The 23794-nt window shown below is 44.9% G+C and overlaps 2 protein-coding genes and 1 pseudogene across 7 annotated transcripts in view, besides 1 other annotated feature; 1 reads left to right on the plus strand and 2 right to left on the minus strand.

Moving 5' to 3' along the window:
* Window positions 1-17591, minus strand: part of GLB1 (galactosidase beta 1) — a 136039-nt gene extending 118448 nt beyond the window's left edge. For 4 of the 5 annotated variants that reach the window (NM_001393580.1, NM_001135602.3, NM_000404.4 and 1 more), the window contains exon 1: window positions 17456-17591. In NM_001393580.1, the coding sequence (NP_001380509.1) occupies window positions 17456-17530 (75 nt within the window). In that variant the 5' untranslated portion in view covers window positions 17531-17591. Of the gene's footprint in view, window positions 1-17163; window positions 17268-17455 lie in introns of those variants that run through there. The other variant, NM_001079811.3, reaches the window with a different exon arrangement.
* TMPPE (transmembrane protein with metallophosphoesterase domain) lies at window positions 10867-17591 on the minus strand. 2 transcript variants are annotated; one of them, NM_001136238.2, is made up of 2 exons: window positions 17164-17591; window positions 10867-14233 (listed from the first exon to the last, which is right to left on the minus strand). In NM_001136238.2, exon 2 carries the CDS (start codon window positions 14227-14229, stop codon window positions 13279-13281), a length of 951 nt encoding a protein of 316 aa, NP_001129710.1. In that variant the 5' UTR covers window positions 14230-14233; window positions 17164-17591; the 3' UTR covers window positions 10867-13278. The 2 variants fall into 2 exon arrangements, with proteins under 2 accessions (NP_001129710.1, NP_001034859.2); NM_001039770.3 differs by having other exon boundaries at window positions 10867-14748.
* Window positions 17179-17788: a silencer, noted in NCBI's record as "silent region_14182". NCBI's record gives its function as "represses an Ori minimal core promoter by ATAC-STARR-seq in GM12878 lymphoblastoid cells {active_cell/tissue: GM12878}" and the evidence as "EXISTENCE:reporter gene assay evidence [ECO:0000049][PMID:35858748]".
* On the plus strand, window positions 23453-23750 carry RN7SL296P (RNA, 7SL, cytoplasmic 296, pseudogene; annotated as a pseudogene).

Raw genomic sequence — 23794 nt, forward strand, 5'->3', positions numbered from 1 at the left:
CTAGCAAAATGTTGACACAAATAAAAATGCAGACTGATAAAATGAATTATGGTTTATATTGTATGTGTATTGTACATGCATGTTTGTATATATACAAATACACATACATGATCAAATGTTACGCAGCTCTGGAGAGTATGTAGCCCTTGCCATTGTGAAATGATCTCCGATGGATATCCCAGCACTTTGGGAGGGATATAGGGTGAAAAGAGAAGGCAGAGGAGAGAGTTTTTTGTTTTTGAGTCAGGGTCTTTCTTGCTCAGTTGCTCTGGCTGGAGTGCAGCAGCATGATCATGGCTCACTGCAGCCTTGACCTCCTGGGCTCAAGCGATCCTCCCACCTCTGTTCCCAAGTAGATGGGACCACAGGGGTGCGCCACCATGCTCAGTTAATAATTTTCAAATTTTCTGTAGAGATAGGATCTCACTATGTTGCCCAGGCTGGTCTCCAACTGCTGGCCTCAAGCAATCCTCCCACCTCACGATCGCAAAGTTCTGGGATTACTGGCGTGAGCCACTGTGCCCAGCCTGAAAACTGTTTTTTTTTGTTTGTTTGTTTGTTTTTTGAGATGGAGTTTCACTCTTGTGGCCCAGGCTGGAGTGCAATGGCACAGTCTCAGCTCACTGCAACCTCCGCCTCCCCAGTTCAAGCAATTCTCCTGCCTCAGCCTCCTGCCCCCACACCCGGCTAATTTTTGTATTTTTAGTAGAGACGGGGTTTCACCACGTTGGCCAGGCTGGTTTGGAGCTCCTGACCTCAGGTAATCCGCCGCCTCGGCTTCCCAAAGTGCTGGGATTACAGACGTGAGCCACCGCGCCTGGTCTTTAAAAGTTTTTAAAAACATGCCTACATCAGCTGTAGCTCTGTGAATGGTCTTGTGCAAGCTCAGTATGCTTTGTGCTGATTGTCTCAACTCACACTCAGATCTCATGTCTTTTTGCCTTTCTGCCCCAACACTGGGGGAATGGGTTCAGCCCAGAAGTCCAGGAGCACCAGGCAGTCCATGCCCCTGAGGGCAACCTTCAGCCAATGAGGGACAAAGAGGGTGGAGAACTGCATTCTCTTGTTTTTTAGGCAAATAATTCTGGAGACACTTTGTGCACTTTTCAGGAGGTCTCAGAAGAATCATGTCCCGGTTCCCAGAGTGATAACTACAATATGCATTCTGACCCAGGCTGTCCCTTCTTTCCACCTGTCCCTTGCTCCTATGCTCTTGGATCACTTCTCAAACCACTTGCACCCAATGTTCTGCTTCTAGAGGGACCCAAAGTACGACCTTGATACCAGGAGTGGCCTCAACAGCAGATCATCAGGATGTGAGTCTGCACCTTGTTGTCTCATGAATGTCAAATAGCAAGAACCTTATAGCTGGTGCTAAGTGGGGTGGTAACGCCTCAAAGACAAATACCAAGGCCCTCAACTCTGTGGGACCGGGAGGAGGCATGGAGAGAGGGGGAGCAGTCGGTATCTGCACTGGCTCCACCCCTGGAGCGGGGCAGAGGTGGGGGTCACTGGTCATTGAAAGGAGTGTGAGGTTAGCTGGCTTTTATTAACAGATTTGGAAGCTTTGAAGACAGTGACGGTTTGATGGGCTCAGGTGAGCCATCCACTCAGGGCATCCTATGAATATCAGAGGCTTCTGTGGCAATGTTTAAAGAGACTCACATCTCAGGCCAGAAAAGTAAGACCTAACTATGGGGGTCACTGGGAATGGATCTTGAGGGGGAAAATCCCAGGCCGGATATGGGGAAGTTACTGGTAGGGTGTATTCTCCCATGACCTATATTCTATTGGTAAGAGCCCAGTCCCTATGCTGTTGGGAGGATCCTTGGAACCTAGACATGACGCTGGTCTACAGGAAATGAGGTGAGGATGCCAGGACTGCCTTGGCATCCTGAGAAAGGTATGGAATGGCTCAAGAGGTGGGAATGTAAAAAGGGTGACCAGAGACCCCACTACCTGGCTCTATTCCCCAGGAGAGCCCAGAGAACTCTCCCTTCAGGAAGGAAGGCACTGGTGAGGAGGGCCCTGGCATACTTGGGAAGCCCCCCCAGTGGGGCCATCCTCTGCAGGCAAGGGGCGCCCTAGTGTCGCTGGGGATGATGAGGTTCTGGCATAACCAGCATGGGACCGCTTAACCATCAGAAGCAGGAAGGCACAATTACCACAACAACCAGCAAGGTCACAGTGGCAACCAGGGTGTGCTGACCTGTGGACCAGGAGTGACCTTATGCAGTGGCTCATAAGCCACACGTTTCTGTGGGGTGAGTTGGCCAGGCAATCAGCAAGAGTACTGCTTGACATGTTTAAAAACTTGTGAGCAAAAGGCTGATGTCAACAACTGCATGGAAAATTGAGATTCCTTCATCCAATTCCCAGCTTTGAGCCAGTTCTCTAACATACAGTCAACAAAATTTGATGGAAGGTTGGATGGATCCCCTTGAGGAAGGATCCTGCATTACCACCCCAAGTCCACACAGTAAATATTCCTCCAATCCTTCCCAACAAGACTCAGGGTAACTGTGTCCTAAGAAAAGGGGCACCCCAAGGCCACCACCTTCTGAGGACTACTGGATACAGTCTGAACTGACATGGTAGCACCAGGGAACCTGAAATGCCATCACTCTCCCTTATCACTCTTAGGGAGGCCAGGGATAATGGGAGCCTTGGCCCCAGTCCTTTTCACAGAGAGTCCAACAAATCAGAGGATCCATCACACGGTTATTTCCCTGGCTATGAGTTCAAAGTGGGATGGTTTTACATAATGGCCTGCAGAACCCTCATAATGAGTAGGAGCCATCATGGATCAAGTGGAAGCTCTGGAACTGCCCACTCCCCACTCCCACTCAAGATAAATCTGAAGCAAGACCACAATCCTCTGGGAATTGTAGCTATTAGTGCCCCCTCCACAAAGACTTAAAGATCATTTCCATCATGTTCATTCAAATTGCCCGTGAGCCTCTGCCAGAAAAAACAGATCACAGTACATGATGGTGGCCACTTAATTAACCGAGTAGTAGCTCCAAAAGCAGCTACCATGTAGGTATGGGATTACCACTGGGACAGAACAACACAGCCTCTGATATTTGGTTTGCGATTAATGTTCTAATCTTTTCAAATCCTACTGATAAAAAGGATTGAAAACAGTTCGTGAGTGGGCAGGACAGCAGTATATTCTCCCTCTTGCCCGGGGCTGTGTCCACTGCCCTGCTGTATCACACGAGACCTGGACTGTCTGTGCATTCATGGACTGTCATGGTCTGAGAGATGAACATCACCATGTTATTTGAACCAGGAGAGCAGGGGACATGTCTCTGAAACAAAAACCTAGAAAAGCCACAGAGAGGGGATCAAGATGGACAGCTGCAGAAGCAGTATCACTTAAAAGACAGTTCATCATTGTTGACTGTCACAGCCAAAGTAAACAGGGACAGTCCACTTCATGGACCCAAGATGACCCCTCTCAAAAGTTACGGACCTAAAAAAAAGACCCAGCTTCCTTTGAGCTTCCTCTGAGCTGTGGAACTACTGACAGAAGGCGATCAAAAAAAGTGGGAATAGGCCAGGTACAGTGGCTCACGCCTGTAATCCCAGCACTTTGGGAGGCCGAGGCAGGTGGATCACCTGAGGTCAGGAGTTCGAGACCAGCCTGACCAACATGGCAAAACCTCATCTATACTAAAAATACAAAAATTAGCTGGGTGTGGTGGCACATGCCTGTAATCCCAGCTACTTGGAGGCTGAGGCAGAAGAATCCCTTGAACCTGGGAGGCAGAGGTTGCAGTGAGCCAAGATCGCGCCACTGCACTCCAGCCTGGGCAACAAGACTGAAACTCTGTCTCAAAAAAAAAAAAAAAAAAAAGTGGGAATAGGAGGAAGAAAGGAGGAAAAAGGAGACAGAGAGAGAGAAAACTGCCTTCAGAGTGTATTCCCCCCAAATGCAAATAATGCAAGATTTGACCTGTGTGCAAATTCTACCCTTCTAAATGAATTGGCGCAGGAATGCAATACTGAAGAGACATACTTTTATTTCATACTTGCAGGAGTGTGGTAGCATCAGTATTTAGTGCATGAGGTCACAGAAAACTTATAAAAAGCAATTCCGAACAAACCAAAATTCATAACTTCTCAAGGCTCCCCGTTAACGCATCCAATACTGGAGAGAAAAAACCCAGCAGTACAAACAAAACACCAAATACGTATCAGGAACCTAATACTGGCCAATGTAATTTTTTAAAAAGTTATTTATTCAGTTTAGATTATTTCAGTAATAAATAAGCATCTTTTTTAAAAAAAATTAAACATAACACAATATTGACATCATCAGGTAATGTGAACATCCCCCAAGTTCCCTAATCCTCAGGACTAAAAGTAATTATATTTGCATTACTTGTGCACATTCCTTGACTACAGAAATAAAAGAAGCTCAGTGACATCACAGATTATGGGTCATGCTGATTATGTGAAGATGATCTGTCTTCAGGTCCTTCAGTATAACTCTGGTAAGCACCTACTCAGCAGATCTTAATCCCCAGCACCCTACACACCCCTACAACTCACCCCAGAGACTCAAGGGCCTGGGGAATTCCTGACACGAGCTGTTCAGCTCCAGGATGCCAGAGACCCAATCCTCTTAGCCTGCAAGCACCCTGAGGCTGAGGGAACATGGATAGAGGCAAGGGGAGAGGGAAGGGGATGGAAGGGTATTTGCATAACACGGGCTTCTGAGACCCTTCAGTTCATAGAACAAAGAGAAACAGAAGAACTATTTCAGGTGACTATGGGTCAAACCCTGATTACATCAGAGCTAAGAGCCTTCCAAATACCACATGTCATGGAAGCACCATTCCATCAGATAGGCTGGAGAAGGAAAACAGGTGCAGGCAATGGTGATAATCTATATGGAGATGGAAGAATCTGTGGATAATCTGCTCTAGCTTATGCATTCGATTTTTATTAACTTTATGTTTTCACGCCTGCCTTGTGCCAAAAACATTTTTGTTCAGCATTCCAAAAGACTGGATAAAGAAGGCAAATCGCAATGGAAGAGGAGAAGCGAGCACAGCTTTAGACTGATTCCCAATCCTCACGGACTCTGGACATACACAGATTTAAATGTGCCCCCTCATCTCAGAGAAAAGGTAAATGTGCAGTTTAAAAAAATAAAAATTAAATTAAAAAATATGTAATTTCTTTAAAATTAAAAACATACAGATCTAACTTTCCACACTACATTGACCATATTTGGCCTAAGGATAAAAATACAGCTTAAACTGCATTCAGGGAAAAAAACAAAAGCAAACTGCATTCAGTAGACTTCATCTTAATAACCACATTGACGTTACTATTTTGGTTCTATTATATATGTAGTAGGATAAAAGAAGTAAGTAACTACATTAGGTTACTAAGAACCAAATTTTTCAGTGTAAAAGAGAAACAGGCTGGGTGCAGTGGCTCATGCCTGTAATCCCAGCACTTTGGGAGGCTGAGGCGGGTGGATGGCTTGACCCCAGAAGTTCCAGCCTGGACAACAAAATGAGATCCCATCCCTATAAAAAATAAACAAAAGTTAGCTGGGTATGGTGGCACATGCCTGTGGTCCCAACTACTTGGGAGGCTGAGGTGGGAGGATTGCTTGAGCCCAGAATGGTTCAGGCTGCAGTGAGTAGTGATGGTGCCACTGCAGTCCAATCAGAGTGACAGAGCAAGAGTCTGTTTCAAAAAAAAAAAAAAAAAAAGCGAGAGAGAGAGAAACAAACATAAAATCAAACAAAATTAAGAACCCCATAATCAGGAGATACAGGAAAATCTCTGTACTTTCCACTCAATTTTGCTATAAGGCTACAACTATTCTAAAAAATATAGTCCATTAAAAAACAATAAAATCCATAATCTCTTATTTGAATTGTAAATACTAGTATACACTTATGATTTTTTTTCTCTCTAAAAAAGTATTGCATTTCCTAGCAATACCCAAAGACACAGTTTGGAAATGATATCAGCGGGTAGCAATCTAACCCATATAGCGCCTAAATTGTGATCTGCAAACATTTCCCACTAAAAGTAACCAAAGCTGCTTCTTCAAGAAATTAGTTAATCCAAGTCTGTGGCATAAGATGTACAAAACAGGGCTAGATTAAAAAAAAAAACAAAACTATTAGGGTCTCATCAAAATGACAAGATGACAGGGCTCCAACCAGCTCAAGTGCAGTGGTTCACACCTGTAATGCCAGCATTTTGGGAGGCTGATTACAGGTTCACACCTGTAATCCCAGCATTTTGGGAGGCTGAGGACTGCTTGAGGCCAGGAGTTTGAGACCAGCCTGGGCAACAAAGAGAGACTCTGTCTCTACCAAAAAAAAAAAAAAAGAGCCAGGAGTGGTGGTGGTGGTGCATGCCTGTAGTCCTAGCTATCTGGAGGCCAAAGTGAGTGTATCGCTTAAGCCCAGGAAATTGAGAGTGCAGTGAGTTACAGTCACACCACTGCACTCCAGCCTGAACAACAGAGCAAGACTAAGACTCTAAAAAGTAAAAAATGAAAAATGAAAAGGTCCCAACTGGCCAAAGATGGGCTATTTTGAGTATTAAAAGATGTAACACTTTGATGAACTAAAAAACATCAGATATATAAAATATCTAAATATCTAAATTCCTAACAATATTTCACCCACCCAGAAGAAAAGCTTATTGGTCATTCTTGGAGGTTGCTGTGGTATCAGATCATTATGCTATAAACTAAGGAATCAAGTGAAAGAATCTGGTATCTGTCTTGCCTTTGTTATAGGCTTTTTCAGAGTAACCACATAATTAATGAGGAGAGTTCTTTGTAAAGGATCCATAGCCAGTAAATGCAGGAAAAAAAGGGTAGAATTTTACAAATCACTATTCTGCAATCTTTAGTGAAATAATGACATTAGGCAACAATCACCAATGACTGCTGAAACATTAAATGGAAAGATAATGCGGAATTTTCTAGTGGAGGGATCAAGCTGACAACACCTGGACCAACAGGTCAATCTTAATATCAGTGAAGCAATGAATTCTTCCTACCCAAAAAGCGAAAAAGTTGAACCTGAATCCAACCAGCCTCTAGCTCTAACCTTTAGAGAGCTTTAGCTCTATGAGCTCACAGAAAATATGAACATGTTAAATGACACCAAAATCTAAAATGTATAAAATTTTAAGACATATGACCCAGATAACTTGAACAAATAAATGATAAAAAATAAGGAAAAGGGGATGTTATAGACTTAAGGAGACTGAAGAAATACACCACAGGCAAAATATAGACCTATTTTTAGATCCTGTTTCAAACAAAATAACTATAAAAAGACAATTCCATAAGAAGAAAAAAATAAACCCAAAGCTAGCAAAAGGAAATAAAATATTAGAGTAGAAATAAACAAAAGAGAATAGAAAGATAGTAGGAAAAAAAAACAGTTGGTTTTTGAAAAAAAAATCAACAAAATTGAGAAACTTAACTAGATTTAAAAAAAAGAAGATATAAATAAATCAGAAATGAAGAGGGGACATTATAACTGATGACACAGAAATAAAGAATTGTAAGAGAATAGCATGAACAACTGTATGCCAACAAATTGGATAACCTAGAAGATATGGATAAATTTCTAGACACACCCAGCCCACCAAGACCGAATCATGAAGAAACAGAAAATCTATACAGACCAATAGCTATTAAAAAGATTGAATCAGTCATCAAAAACCTCAAAGAGGCCGGGTACGGTGGCTCCCGCCTGTAATCCCAGCACTTTGGGAGGGGGAAGCGGCCAGATCACTTGAGGTCAAGAGTTTGAGACCAGCCTGGCCAACATGGTGAAACCCCGTCTCTACTAAAAATACAAAAATTAGCCGGGTGTGGTGGCGCGTGCCTGTGGTCCTGGCTACTTGGGAGGCTGAGGAAGGAGAATCGCTTGAACCTGGGAGGTGGAGGTTGCAGTGACCCAAGATCATGCCTCTGCACTCCAGCCCCGGCGACAGAGCAAGACCATGTCTCAGCATGCGCGCACACACACACACACACACACACACACACACACACACACACACACACACACTCAAAGAAAAACCTAGAACCAGATGGCTTCACTGGAGAATTCTACCAAACATTTAAAGAAGAATTAATACCAATCCTCCTGAAACTATTACAAAAGTTGAAGAGGAGGAACATTTCTAAATTTATTCTATGAGACCAATATTATCCTAATACCAAAGCCAGACAAATACACTACAAGAAAACTACAGAACAATAATATTCCTGGTGAATATTGATGCAAAAATCCTCAACAAAATACTAGCAAACTGAATTCAACAGTACATTAAAAGGGTTATATACTATGATCAAGTGGGATTTATTCCTAAAATGCAAGAATGGTTTAACATATAAAAATCAATCAATATAATACACCAAATTAACAGATTGAAGGGCAAAAACCACATGATAATCTAAATTGAGGCAGAGAAAGCATGACAAGATTCAACACCCTTTCATGATTAAAAAAACCAACAACTCAACAAATGCAAAATAGAAGAAAACTACCTCCACATCATAAAGCCCACATGTGAAGAGCCCATAGCTAACATCATATTCAATAGTGAAAGACTGCAAGCTTTTCCTCTAAGATCAGGAAAAAGGCAAGATGTCTGTTTTTGCCACTTCTACTCAACATAGTTTTGGAAGTCCTAGTCAGAGCAACTAGGCAAGAAAGAAATAAAAGGCATTCAAATTAGAAAGGAGAAGTAAAATGATCGATTCACAGATGATATAATCTTAGATGTAGGAAACCCTAAAGACTACACACACACACACACACACACACACACACACACACACACACAAACTGTTAGAACTAATAAATGAATTCAGCAAAGTTGCAGGATACAAAAAGCAACATACCAAAATCAGTTGCTTCTCTATACACTAAAAATGAACAATCCTAAATGGAATTTCAAAAAATTCCATATATAAAAGCATCAAAAAGAATAAAATACTTAGAAATAGGCCTAACTAAGGTGAAAGACTACACTGAAAACTACAAAACACTGTTAAAAAGAAATTAAAGAAGACACAAACAAATGGAAAAAACATCCTATGTTCATGGAGTGGAAGGTTCATATTGTTAAGATGTTCATACTACCCAAAGTGATTCACAGATTCAACACAATCCCTATAAAAATCCCAATAGCATTTCTTGCAGAAATAGAAAAATTTATCCTAAAATTCATATGGAATCTCAACAGACACCAAATAGACTAAAGTCTTGAAAAAGAAGAGCAAAGTTGAAAGACTCATACCTCCTGATTTCAAAACATATTGCAAAGCTGTGGTAATCAGAATAGCATGGTAATGACATAAAGACAGACATAGAGCAATGAGAGGATAGAACACCAAGAAACAAACTCTTGTGTATATGGTCAAATGATTTTCAACAAAGATGCCAAGATCTCTTGATGTTAGAAAAGGACAATTTCTTCAGAAAACAGTGCTGGGAAAACTGGATATTCACAGGCAAGAGAATGAAGTTGGACCCTTATCTTATACCATACACAAAAATTAATTCAATATGGGTTAAAGACCTAAACGTAAGACCCAAAACTATAACACTCCTAGAAGAAAACATGGGGAAAAAAGCTACGTGATATTGAACTTGGCAATGATTTCTTGGATATGATGCCAAAATAAAAGCAAAAATAGAGAAATGGGCCTGCATTAAACTTTAAAACTCTGTGCATCAAAGGTCACAATCAGTGAAAAGGCAATGTACAGAACTGAAGAAAATATCTGCAAATTACGTATCTGATAAGGGGTTAATGTCCAGAATATATAAAGAACTCCTACATCTCCACAACAATAAATTAAATAACCTGATTTAAAGATAGGCAAAGGACTTGAATAGACATTTCTCCAAAGAAGGTATACAGGTGGCCAACAAGCCCATGAAAACATGCTCAACATGGATAAACAAAATGTGGCATGAAAATACAAGAGTATTACTGTAGTCCAGCCTTAAAAAGGACAGAAATCCAGTCACGTGCCACAACCTTAAGGTCATTATACTAACTGAAATAAGCCCGCCACAAAAAGACAAAAACTGCATGATTTCACTTATACGAGGTATCTAAAGCAGTCAAATTCATAGAAACAGAAAGTAGAATTGTGGTCACCAGGGGCTGGAGGAAGGGGGAAATGGAGCCTTGTTGCTCAATGGGTATATAGATTTGCAAGATGAAAAAGTTCTACAGATCAATTAGATCAATTTCACAACAATGTGAATATACCTAACACTGTTGAACTATTCACTTAAAAATGGTTAAGATCAACAACAACAAAAAGAACAAAAAAAATGGTTAAGATAGTAATTTTTTTGCCACAATAAAAAATATAGTTGAGATAATCAGGAAAAACTAAACACTAACTCTTCACACAGTTAACTGCATTTGAATTCTGTACTCATTTGTGACAGATACAGCTACTTAATACTCAGAGAGTGGAAAGAACACTTCTTTAAAGAGGTCAAAAATCTGGCTACTAGCCCCAAATCTCCTAACTAGCTATTAGATGATATTCAAGAATCACTGTTAATTTCATTGGATATGATAATGACACTATAGCTATGCTTTTTGAAAAAGGATTCATACTGAAGTAATTTTGGGGTAACATTATGTTTTCTATGATTTACCTTAATATACTCCAGCCAAAAAATAAAGAGTACAGGTGGGGCAGGGGTAGCTGAGAAAGGATGGCAGAGTGGTCTCGTCATGCTTGTTAAAGCTGGGAGAGAGGTACATGTACGAAAAGTTTAAAACAAACCAAACAAAACACGAGGGGAAGAAAAGCATGGATGGGTATTTGGAAGGAATGGCAGCAGGATCAATTTATTGAGATTTTGTGACAGCATCATATACTACAGACACTATTGCTGATTTTCAAAAAGCATTGCATTTCAATTTGCATCTAACAGATTAAAAATAAAGAAACAAATGAAATTGAAAGAATGATCAAGCTTCAAGTAACGTTTCTCACCACCTCCCCCGGCCACAAACAAACAAAAAGGTCCATGGTTTAAGAATGTTGAACAAAGGGACTAAAGGTGTCATGGAGACCTGCCCACCAGGGCCAGAATCTGGACAGTGATGGAGAAATTTCTGCTGCAAAAATGTCCGCCGCGTCAGGGAATACAAACCACATACGAGAGGGTGTTGATGTTGTTTCTCAGATACATAGGATGGACCTGTTTTCTTTCTGCTAATAGAAAGCAATCAGTCAAGCAAGGACTTCAGAGTGGATGAAGGGTACATAAGACCACACAATGATGGCATTCAAGAGAAAGAAAAGAGGTAAGGATGCAAAATTAAAAAAAAAATAGGACTTAATGAAAGCTAATTTCATCAAGCCCAGGTCACTGATGAGAAAGATGTAAAATCAAGAAACCAGTGAAATAACACGTAACAGGTGAGTCAAACATTACCAGCCGCATCAAACAGTGGAAGTGAAATGGCACCATCTAGCCCACCTGGTGAAATCCAAAGCGAGAACTTAAAGGGAGTAAGGATGATTCACAAAATGCGGTCGGGACACAAGAAAAGTGAGTTTGGAAGGACAGTGAAGAGAGAAAAAAGAATAAGGAAACCACCAAAATTTCAACTCAAAGATACATTTTAAACTGCATGGTATGGCCCACTGTCAATACCGTGGCTGCCTGGGAACAAAAAGGGTGGTCTCCAGATCCCCCAGAACCCCACTATACACCAGGAGGACAAGGAGGAAAGGAAGAAACCCCCTTTGCCTGCCAGAATGCACATGAGGGAAGGAAGGCAAACCCCTAGCAGTTGCTGCTTTGACACATCACCTGCCCCAGCAGCAGGCAGCTCGCTACCCACTCACATTCCCCAGGACTGGCTGCTCCATGAATCCTCTGGGCACCTGTGCCCAACAGAGTTCCTTAGCAAGCTCCACTGGAACGTTGAAAAATTAACATTGAGTGTTTACTGTGCACGCTGTGCCATGTGGAACTCATGCACAAGGCTTGATGGATCCCTCCTGACAAAACAATCTTGAGGTAGATACGATAATTATCCCCATTTTAGGGTTGATGGAAACCAAGGCTGAGTGAGGGAAAGTCACCCACCCAACGCTGCCCTATGAGTGAGCAGCAGGGTTAGCCTCTCCAGTCAGAGCGAGTGTCTTCACTCCCCATTGGAGGAAGACTTTCCATCACAAGCCTAAATCACCCAGCAGGAAACCAGCCCAGCCCTGTCTTCTCAGTGAGGCCTTTTCTAACACGGGTGCTTATCTCCATCTCAGGATCAAAGGATCTATTGCTTCTGGCAAAAGGGCAAAAGCACCGCTTTTACTGGGAGGTACAAGACCTGGTTTCTAGCCCCAAATCTCCTACATATCTTGTCATACTGCCTGTGCCCTATCTCTCTTTGCCTTGGTTTCCTTATCTCCAAATAGGGAAAAGCAGCCTGTCCCCAGTGAGCTCCCCGAAGGGTTGTATAAAATGAGACAAGGGAGGCAAAGCCCTCTGAATTCCTAAGCAGCCATGTTCTCACCATCACCGACCATGGCGCCCACCGTTCTTCTCCCCTGACCTTGCCCCCAAAGGCCCAGGAGCACAGACAGTTAAATAGCATCCCTCAAGGCCTGGAACAGGAGGAGCTTTGCATTCCAGTAGATTTTGCTGATGCCCTCAATAGAGGTGATCCTGATAGAATCAGAGGAAAAGAAAATATTCTTCTCTAGCAGCCAGAGGGCCCTTCCATCTTGCCTGTTCTCCCAAATTACCTGGCAACACTACCCCTTCCCCAGAAAGGCTCTGGATCAATGATTCTGGAAACCACTTAAGTCCTAAAGACAATTTTAAAACACCAGGAGAAAAATGCTCCTGCTCCTCCCCGCCCCACCTTCTAGAGGTATGCCTTTCTAGCAACCCCGAGGGGAGGTTCATCCCTGGGAGCTCTGCAGGAGAAGGTCCCCATTCCACATCATCTGGAAAATAGAGGGGAGTGCTAATATATGTGACCTTAGTGATCTCACAAGTGCATCAAAAAAAGCAACTGGCCAAGGAAATAGTTAAACCAGCCTGAACATGCCAGGCAGGCCCACCATAAGTCACTGTTTGAGTCAGGCTTGTGACCAAGGGTGTGTAGGCAAGGATGAGTGGGCAAGGCTGGAGGGGAAAAGCAGGCAAACCACTCTGAAGCAGGATGGAGGGTCGAGGACAAGGGCAGGGCAGAGGTGCACAGGGCAGGGCCAGTTCAGGGAGACCGCTGCAGGATGAGCTCTGTGATCTCGGCCCTGCTACCCAGCCTCATGGGTATCCCGTAGTAGGCTGTGCCTGGGCTGACATACACGAATGTAGCCTGGGCCACCTGGTAGAGACCAGCAAAGAAGGGATTCAGGAGATAGGCTGCTACGTTCAAGGGGAAGATCTGCCCAGCATGTGTGTGCCCAGAAAGGATCAGGTTAATATCTGGCCGAGCCTGGAGAGCTCTCTTGGCAGCCAGGGGCTGGTGAGCTAGCAAGATGATTGTGTGGTCTGGGCTGCAGCCCTCCAGGGCCTTGTCAAGATCCATGCCATGGCCAGAGTAGTGCAGGATGTCTGCTTCAATATCGTCCACCCCAGCCAAGCAGATCCAGTCCTCATCCTCACTCCCACTGCCACTGCCACCACCACCACGTTGGGCCCGTGTGGCGGAAATCTTCACGTTCTCATTATGAAGAGGCTGGACATGCAGGGATTCCAGAAGTGCAAACCAGTTGCTGACATCTGACGTGTAGTACTCATGATTGCCTGTGACGAAGTAGGCACCGAGATGTGAATGAAGCTGGCCCAGAGGAGCGACAGCCGTCCGCAGGACCGAGGCTTCTGAGTCGGAGAGGTCACCCACAATCACCGTGATGTCTGGTTCCAGCACATTCACCATCCTCACAAACATTTCCATCTTGGTCCTGCCCACTGTGGGGCCCAAGTGAATGTCTGAGAGGAGCACGATCTTGAGGTTGTTCATTGAGGCAGGCAGCTGATGGATGGGCACCTCCACAGTTTTCACAGCCGGGGGCTGCGCGGCATTCAGAATCCCGGCCACGCTGAGCACAGCAGTCACTCCCACTGCCAGGGCAGGCCTGAGCACGAGCTTCCTTGTCTTCTCAAGGCTGCCCACGACCCTACCACTGCGCCAGGCCAAGAGCTGGTAGGCCTGCTCCATGCCGCTGAGGATGAAGAGGAAGAAGAGCATGATGATGTAAGCACCCAGGCAGGAGTAGGCCGCCAAGGAAAAGAGATAGGGCTCTTCGGCCACTAAAAAGAACATGGTAAAGAAACTGGAATGGGCCAGGGCCAGAAATGCCAGAACCACCACCTTCCAAAGCTGAAAACAGGTTGACTCTGCAGCTGGGGAGTGGCAGAGGTTGCTCACTGTGCTGCGCCAAATGTAGAGGGAGCCAATGAGCAAGAGCGAGTTGACAAACAGGGCAAGCTGCAAGCGAAGCAGCCAACGCCAGGCCCTGAGCTCAAGGCTCTCTGCCAGATACGAGCGGGAGGCGATCATGGACACGAAGACAGTGACAGCAGCCAGGGTGGCCTTCGCGCCTAGGGACAGCTGCCTGAAGATGGCCATTTTCTCTGCTCCTAGTAGGCTCCCCCACCAGTTCTGTGCTGGTGGACTCTGGAAATGAGTTCCTTAGAAAGGACAGTGGCCAAGGAGAGGTTTCCAGGTCAACTCCGCCTGCAACCAGGAACCAGCATCAGCTTTGTGGGATATTAGAGTGTCCTTGTACCCATTCAAAACTCAAAGGCCACTTACATCTGCCCAACCCACCTTGAATCCAAGCTACTCAAATACCAGTCAGTTGCTAGCTATACTTTATTATTCAAAAAGAAACTCACAGCATTGTGACATGATGGGCAGTTTTCATTTTCTTACCACATGTTCTATACGTTTAAAGTTTCTCTACAGTAAGCATGTACTTGTTTTATAAAAACATTCCAAATCAGCGGTATTCAAAGTGTGGTCTGGAGAGAGCCCTTCAGGGGTCCAATTAGTCAAAACTATTTTTATTATAATTCCAAGCCATTACTGCCTTTTCCATTCTCACTCTGTCCTGAGGGGGTGGAGTCTTCCAGAGGCTATGTGACATGTGATATGGCAACAGATTTAATGCAGAAATAAACATGAAAATTTGACTGTCTTCTATTAAGAGACATTGAAAGAGATTTGCAGAAATGTAAAACAGTGCAACTCTTCACCCTAAAATTTGGGGAGAAATACTATTGTTTTTCAAATATATATATTGTTTATTAACGTGTAATGATGTAGTATTTCTTAACAAATAGTTTAAAATATTCTCTAGGGCTGGGCACAGTGGCTGACGCCTATAATTCCAGCACTTTGGGAGGCCGAGGCAGGCAGATTACCTGAGGTCAGGAGTTCAAGACCAGCCTGGCCAACATGGTAAAACCCTGTCTCTACTAAAAATTCAAAAATTAGCCAGGCATGGTGGTGGATGCATGTAATCCCAGCTACTCGGGAGGCTGAGGCAGGAGAATCACTTGAACCTGGGAGGTGGAAGTTGTAGTGAGCCAAGATCGTGCCACTGCACTCCAGCCTGGGCAAAAGAGCGAGACTCTGTCTCAAAAAAAAAAAAAAAAAAAAAAAAAGGAATATTCTCTTAATTTCTAGGACAGCTAAAATTTAGTTAAAATTTGAGAACCGCTGGGTCACGAGGTCAGGAGATCGAGACCATCCTGGCTAACATGGTGAAACCCCGTCTCTACTAAAAATACAAAAAAAGAAAAAAATTAGTCGGGTGTGATGGCGGGCGCCTGTAGTCCCAGCTACTCGGGAGGCTGAGGCAGGAGAATGGCGTGAACCCTAAAGAAATGTAAACAAGGAGATAATGGAAAGCTAGACTGCTGGTATCTTTCTTTAGCTGTGGGCACAGAAGCCCAAGAGGGACACCTAGGCACCTGAAATGAGAATTCCTGGGGTGATGCCAGCCTCCCTGTGTGGGCCTCAGGTATGGCAGCCACAGGGCATCCACCCTGACCCAATGACGCTGCACAAGACTGATGAGCTCACATCAGACAGATTGACCCTGTCCACCTGTTCCTGGTTCATAAATCCTTCTCTCTCTCCCTACCCCCACTCCCAGATACTGGTTAAGATCTGCCTTTCCCCTAGCCCCTTACCCTGCCACTGTTCTCCTGAACTGTGCCCCAGTTCCACCTTCCCCAGTGGTTCTCACAGCTGGCTAGCTCTGACTCCTAAGGTCCTACGGGCCTTCTGGACAAGAAAACTCTGTCTACATACTGGGGTAGGGGAACCACAGACGGGGTGAAGAGGGAGCAGCAAATAATCTGTGCTGACTTTTTCCCAAAATGAAAACATTTTCAGCAGCTGTTTTCCAAATACTTAAGATGTTCAATCTTGGTTGTAGATAAATGTACCACTTTTCTCTGCCCTAGGCACGTTATTGAAAGCGTTATTAAAGGGTGTAACTTACAAGTCAACGGTGTCAAATGCTACCAGCTCTTACTTAAAGCATACTGCAGGCTCAGCCCACCTACACCCTGGAGGAACCAAAGTTGGTCCGCGGAACGTGCAGAGGAGCAGCTTGCAACTACCCACTCTCCTTTCCGCAGGTGTGATGCAAACCTCCCCAGGCAGCGCTTTGGAGCCCCTCAGCCAGTCGCCTCAGCTCGGACGCAGCGAGTGAAGCTGTCCTTCCTCTCCCACCAACTGTGCACGCCCCGCACCTCACCTATTCGCCTCGCCAGCCCTGCCCCGATCAACGATGGCATCCCCCGGCAGCCTGCCTATTCCCCCCCTCAACCTGGACCCCCAAACGCCGAAGGAAAACGGTCCCACAAATACAAAGAAAAACCCAAGCCAAAGGGCAGGCGACGGGGAGTGGTGAGAAAGGAACAAGATGCACGAAGAGGGAGAGCACCCAGAGGGGAAATAACCCAATGTTCCCACTGCAAGGGCCTCTCCTGACCCCATTTTTCTCCTTCCGGAGCGCTCCGCAGAGCACCAACTGGGAAAGCGAGGGCGCCCCAAACCAGAGCCGGAGGCACCCTCTAACCCGCGCAACTTGGAATCCCCTCCCGGAAAGCCAACTTAGGAAATGTTTACACGCACCTCGTCTCAACACCTCGTTACAGATGGGGAAGTGGATCCAAGCGCAAAGGGCGGCCGGAGCGGAACGCACAAGCGACCGAGCTGCCTGGAAGGACGCGCGCCCCGCCCGGCCCGCCCCCGACGGGAAGGCCGGTCCACTGCCTGCGTTCCGCCGGCCGCGAGCCTGCTGGGGGGCACTTCGGGGCTCAGGCTCCCCGCCCTGCGGGACCGCGGGTGGCTGCGACCCCAGCCCGGTTCCCCGCCAGCCTGTCCCCTAGCAATGCCTCCCCGTACCCGGGTCCCGCAGACTTACGCGCAAGCCGCGCGTAGGGCCCAGAAGCAGCAGAACCAGCAACAGAGGGAGGATGCGAACCAGGAACCCCGGCATGACCACCAGCCTCCCGGCTCTGCAGTCGGCGCCCAGGCCGGCCGCTTCGCGTCACTTGACTAAGGACCCACGGCCTGGCACCGCCCCTCGTCGGCCCAGCAGCCAGCCCTCGCGCCTGCTCAGCCCCGCGCCCCGCCCCGCTGTGGCCGAGCCGGGCGGGTGGGGGCGGCTAGGAGGCTGCGCGCCGCCGCGTGACTCCAGGATAGTACTATCTGGGTTTTGCAGGCGTCTTCCCTGGGAAGGGACCCTTTGGAACTGCAGTCCGGAGGGCCTGCTTTCAGCAGCTTGATAACGCGCCTCGGGGATTGGACATGAATCATGGTCTCCCTGTTCCCTGGCTGCCTTGAGAGAGCAGAAGAGGGAAATTGTTAATCATTAAACCTAAACGCCCTAGATGGAATCCGCGTCTCATATACGGGCTCTTTGAATAACTCTAAGCCGGGGGTTAGCAAAATGTGGTCGGTCCCTGGAGCCACTGTATCAACTCACCTGGAACTTGTTAGAATGAAAATCCTGCTCACGCCTGTAATCCCAGCACTTTGGGAGGCCGAGGCGGGCGGATCGCCTGAGGTCAGGAGTTCCAGACCAGCCTGACCAGTATGATGAAACCCCGTCTCTACTAAAAATACAAAAATTAGCCGGGCGTGGTGGCAGGCGCCTGTAATCCCAGCTACTGAGGAGGCTGAGACAGGAGAATCGCTTGAACCCGGGAGGTGGAGGTTGCAGTAAACCGAGATCGAGCCATTGCGCTCCAGCCTGGGCAATAAGAGCGAAATTCCGTATCAAAAAAAAATTTTCTTTTTTAAAATAACCTTAGTTTATGCCTTGGTGTTCCAAAAAGCCTTTTTACATTGTATAACAAAGTAGCCAAAATTCTATTTGTTCACTCCTTTCTCCTTTCCTACCGGACATGTCCTTGAGAGATTGAGAAAGTATCAGAAAGGACATTTCATTGAGAGATTGAGAAAGTATCAGTTACTGGCTTTTCTTAGGTTTTTGTTTTTTGGTTTGGGGGGTTGTTTTTTTGTTTTGTTTTTGTGTTTTTTGAGACAGGGTCTCACTCTGTCACCCAGGCTGGAGTGGGGCGCAATCACGGCTTACTGCAGCTTTGGCCTCCTGGGCTCAAGCAATTCTCCCGTCTCAGCCTACCAAGTGGCTGGGACTACAGGCGTGCGCCACCACACCCGGCTAATTTTTGTATTTTTTGTAGAGACAGGGTCTCACCACGTTTCCCAGGCAGGTCTTGAAGTTCTGGGATCAAGCAATCTACCTGCCTGGAACTCCCAAAATGCTGGAATTACAGACATGAGCCACCGTGCCTGGCTTCTTTTCATGCCTGTAGTACCAATTCCGTGTCCTTGCACTGTGAAGTCCTTTCCAAGCTCTGCAATTCTAGTTCAGTATTAAAGAACAAGGGCTCTGGAGGAAGTACACTTGAGTTGGAATTCCAGCTCTGCCACTTACTGTCTGTGTAACTGTGGGCAAATTACTTAACCTCTCTGAGCTTAGTTTCTTTGTTGGTAAAGCAGGGCTAATAATATCAAATTCACTGGATAATTGGGGAAATTACCAGAGATGATGACGATAAGAAGCTTGGTATATACAGGATGTTAGTGGGACAGTTGATGAAATCAGAATTAGACTTGTAGGTTAGATTAGTACCATGCATCAATGTTAATTTCCTTTTTGGGGGGGTGGGGGGACAGAGTCTCACTCTGTCACCCAGGCTGGAGTGCAGTGGCACAATCTCGGCTCACTGCAACCTCCGCCTCCCAGGTTCAAGTGATTCTCCCACCTCAGCCTCCAAAGTAGCTGGGATTACAGGCACCCACCACTAGGCTTGGCTAATTTTTGTATTTTTAGTAGAGATGGGGTATCACCATGTTAGCCAGGCTGGTCTGGAGCTCTTGACCTCAAGTGATTTGCCCACCTCGGCCTCCCAAAGTGCTGGGATTACAGGCATGAGCCACTGTGCCCGGCCGCATCAATGTTAACTTTCTGATTTTGATAATGGTACACGGTCTAAATATTAAATAATAGTTTTGTATTAGTGTATTGATTTGGGTAACGGTAATGGTAATTTTGGTAATGGTTATATAAAAGAACATCCTTGTTTTTTAGGAAACAAAAGGGCATCATCTTTGCAACTGATTCTCAAACAGTTCACAAAAAAAAATGGAGAGAGAGAGAAAGAGAGAGAGAGAGAGGGAGAGAAATGGTATTCCAGGCATGAAAAGAACGTGAGAAAGAAAAGCAAATGTGGTAAAATGTTAACATTTGGAAAATCAATGAAGGAATTATTTTTACTCTTTTTTTCAACTTTTTGTTTCTAAGCCTGAAATTATTGCAGAACGAAGTTTAAAAACAAAACAAAACAAAAATCCTTAACACATGGCAGATTCAACTTCTTCTACCTTCTTTCCTACTCTGTACACTCAGGGTTATCATATGCAATAGGTATTTTTAACTGAACTGAGGTAGAAAGGGTTTAGAGCAGGAGTTGGCAAACTAAGGGCAGAGGATCAAATCTGGCCTGCTGCCTGTTTTTCTTTTTCTTTTTAAAATTCTTTTTACTAAGAATCGGCACAATTTGCTGCCAGTTTTTCTATGGCCTGCCACCTAAAAATGGTTTTTACATTTTTAAATGAATGAAAAAAAATCAAAAGAATAATATTTTATGACATTTGAAAATGTTGTAAGTTTCCTGTGTCAGTGTCCATAAATAAAGTTTTGTGGGGTTGGTTTTTGTTTTTTTTGTTTTGTTTTGTTTTTTTAGACACAGTCTTGCTCTGTCACCCAGGCTGGAGTGCAGTGGTGCAATCATAGCTCACAGCAGCCTTGAACTCCTGAGCTGAAGCAGTCGTCCCATGTCGGCCTCCTGAGTAGCTAAGTAGCTGGGACTACAGGCGAGTGCCACCATGCCTGAATAATTTTTTTTTTTCTAAAGACAAGATCTTGCCTTGTTGCCAGGGTTGGTCTTGAACTCCTGGCCTCAAGTAATCTGCCCACTTTGGCTGCCAAAGTGCCAAGATTACACATAAATAGTTTTCTTAGAACACAGCCACCTATAATCCTCTGCATATTGCATATGGTTGCTTTCACGCTACAACGGTAGAATGGAGTAGTTGCAACACAGATCTTAGGACCTACAAAACTGAATATATTTATGTTCTAGCCCTTTACAGTATAAGCTTGCCAAAGGAATATAGATTGTAGATTGTTTCTGAGATTTTTAGTATTTGACTATGTTTGTAGTTGAAATGGCAATAGTAGTAATAGCCATTGTTGTGCTGAATGCTTTACCAGTATGTGTCACTATTCCTCCCAATCCGAGCTGCATGCTCTTATCCACATTTCACAGATGAGAAAGCTGAGACCCAGAGGAGTTAAATGACTTGCCAGTAGCCACAGAGCTGGGGAGCAGTAGAGTCTCTAAAGTTACATTGCCTGACGTTAGGGCCTGAGTTATTTTCACAAGGCTATGCTTCTGCTCATAGTGTACTGTTTGGTTCCCATTTAAATGCACAGACAGAGTGTGCTGGATGCAAAGCCCCCTGCATACTGGAGAATATGAAGGGACCATGAGAAGGCTGTCACCCTGCAGGCACTCATCTCTAAACATGGTACATGCTCTAATATAGACTAATACTTCTCAGAGTCTGATCCTTAGACCAGTGCTGTGCAATAAGTACAGAAATTCAGCCTAGGCACTTAGAAACTTGCAGCAATTTGAGAAAGTAAGTCTATCTGTTGAATCTAATAATGAACAAAATCATTACGCATCTATTTTTATTTCATTGTTCTAGTAATGTTTTATTTTTATTTTTTTAGACAGAGTTTCGCTTTTATTGCCCAGGCTGGAGTGCAATGGCACGATCTTGGCTCACTGCAACCTCTGCCTCCTGGATTCAAGCGATTCTCCTGCCTCAGCCTCCTGAGTAGCTGGGATTACAGGCATGTGCCACCATGCCCCGCTACTTTTATATTTTCAGTAGAGATGGGGTTTCTCCATGTTGGTCAGGCTGGTCTCAAACTCCTGACCTCAGGTGATCCACCTGCCTCGGCCTCCCAAAGTGCTGGGATTACAGGCGTGAGCCACCACGCCTGGCCTCTAGTAGTTTTTGTTTGTTTGTTTTTGAGACAGAGTTTCACTTTGTCGCCCAGACTGGAGCGCAGTGGCATGATCTTGGCTCACTGCAACCTCCACCTCCTGGGTTCTCGCAATTAAACCTCGGCCTCCTGAGTAGCTGGGACTACAGGCTCACACCACCATGCCAGGCTGATTTTTTCGTATTTTAGTAGAGATGGGGTTTCACCATGTTGCCCAGGCTGGTCTTGAGCTCCTGAGCTCAGGCAATCCACCCCCCTCAGCCTCCCAAAGTGCTAGGATAACAGGTGTGAGCCACCACACCCGGCCTATTTTTCTAATAATTTATTTTTATTGAATTTTTATGAAAGGATCAATCCTTGATAGGCAGGAAAGAGCACTAATAATTAAAAAAAAAAAAAAAAAGTCCGGCCGCGGTGGCTCACACTTGTAATCCCAGCACTTTGGGAGACTGAGGCGGGGGGATCATGAGGTCAGGAGATGGAGACCATCCTGGCTAACATGGTGAAACCCCGTCTCTACTAAAAATACAAAAAATTAGCCGGGCGTGGTGGCGGGCGCCTGTAGTCCCAACTACTCGGGAGGCTGAGGCAGGAGAATGGCGTGGAACCCGGGAGGCGGAGCTTGCAGTGAGGTGAGATTGCGCCACTGCACTCCAGCCTGGGCGACAGAGCGAGAATCTGTCTCAAAAACAAAACAAAACAAAACAAACAAACAAAAAAACACAACTCATCCTTTACCAAAAATAGTTTGAGAAGCACAGAGGCCTCATCAGTAGCATAAGAACAATGAGAGGGAGAAAAACGTGTGGCCCCAAAACATAGGAAAGCTTTGTTTTTCTGTTCTAACAGGGCTCTACACACAAGTTAATCATCAAACTCAGTTTCTTTGATCTGTTTTCCCTTATGGAGTTTTCCTACTCAGCAAATTTTCATTCCCAGTGTCAGTTCTGACCTGCATTTCAATAAAAAATTTTATGTAACCTACCTTCCTTCCTTTCTTCCCTCCTTCCTTCCTTCCCTCCTTCTTTTCTTTTTCTTTCTTTCCTTCTTTCTTTTCTTTTTCTTTCTTTCTTTCCTTCTTTCTTTTCTTTTTCTTTCTCTCTCTCTCTCTTCTCTCTCCCTTTCTTTCTTCTTTCTTTCTCTCTCTTTCTTTCTCTTTTCTCTCTCTCTCTCTTTTCTTTCTTGTCTCACTTTGTTGCCCAGGCTGGAGTGCAGTGGCGTGATCATGGCTCACTGCAGCCTTGAACTCCAGGTCTCAGGTGATCCTCCCACCTCAGCCTCCTGAGTAGTTGAGACTACAGGCACAGGCCACCATGTCTGGCAAATTTTTCTTTTTTCTTTTTGTAGAGATGGGGTTGCCCCATATTGTCCAGGCTAGTCTTGAACTCCTGGGCTTAAGCAATCCGCCCACTTCAGCCTCTCAAAGTGTTGAGATTACAGGTGAGAGCCACGGCACCCGGCCTAATTTTATATTTCTAATATTTTTTAAATGCCATTAAAGTGATTATAATTTGGAATAGGTTTTAAAAGAGTATTAAATTACACACATTAAAGGCAAGAAAAATAAACATGTACTCCATTAGAAAGACAAGGCAAATAAATGTGATACATTGTCCTAGACTGGATCTTAGACCAGGGGAAAAAAAATCGGTAAGAGCATTATTGGGAAAATTAACAAAAGTTGAATATAGGCTATGGATGAGAAAATAATATTGTTTCAATATTAAATTTTCTATTTTCGATAAGTGATATTGTGGCCATGTTCTTTGGAAATACACCCAGAATTACACAGGAGTAAAGGAGCATTATGTTGCCAGGTGTGGTGTTGCACGCCTGTACTCCCAGCTACTCGGGAGGCTGAGGCAGGAGGATTGCTTGAGTCCAGGAGTTCTGGGCTGTAGTGCGCTATGCCGATTGGGTGTCCACACTAAGTTTGGCATAAATATGGTGACCTCCTGGGAACAGGGGACCACCAGGTTGCCTAAGGAGGGGTGAATTGGCCAAGGTTGGAAACCAAGAAGGTCAAAACTCCCATGCTGATCAGTAGTGGGACTGAGCCTGTGAATAGCTGCTGCACTTTAGCCTGGGCAACATAGCAAGACCCCATCTCAAAAAAAAAGGAGCATAATGTCTACACCTTATTCTCATATGATA

The sequence above is a fragment of the Homo sapiens genome, chromosome 3 (assembly GCF_000001405.40).
Source record: "Homo sapiens chromosome 3, GRCh38.p14 Primary Assembly".
Classification (NCBI taxonomy): Eukaryota; Metazoa; Chordata; class Mammalia; order Primates; family Hominidae; genus Homo; species Homo sapiens.

Bases quoted from the DNA above. Each gene is read 5' to 3' on its own strand.
- TMPPE (NM_001039770.3), bottom strand. From the start codon at position 14,640: ATGGCCATCTTCAGGCAGCTGTCCCTAGGCGCGAAGGCCACCCTGGCT.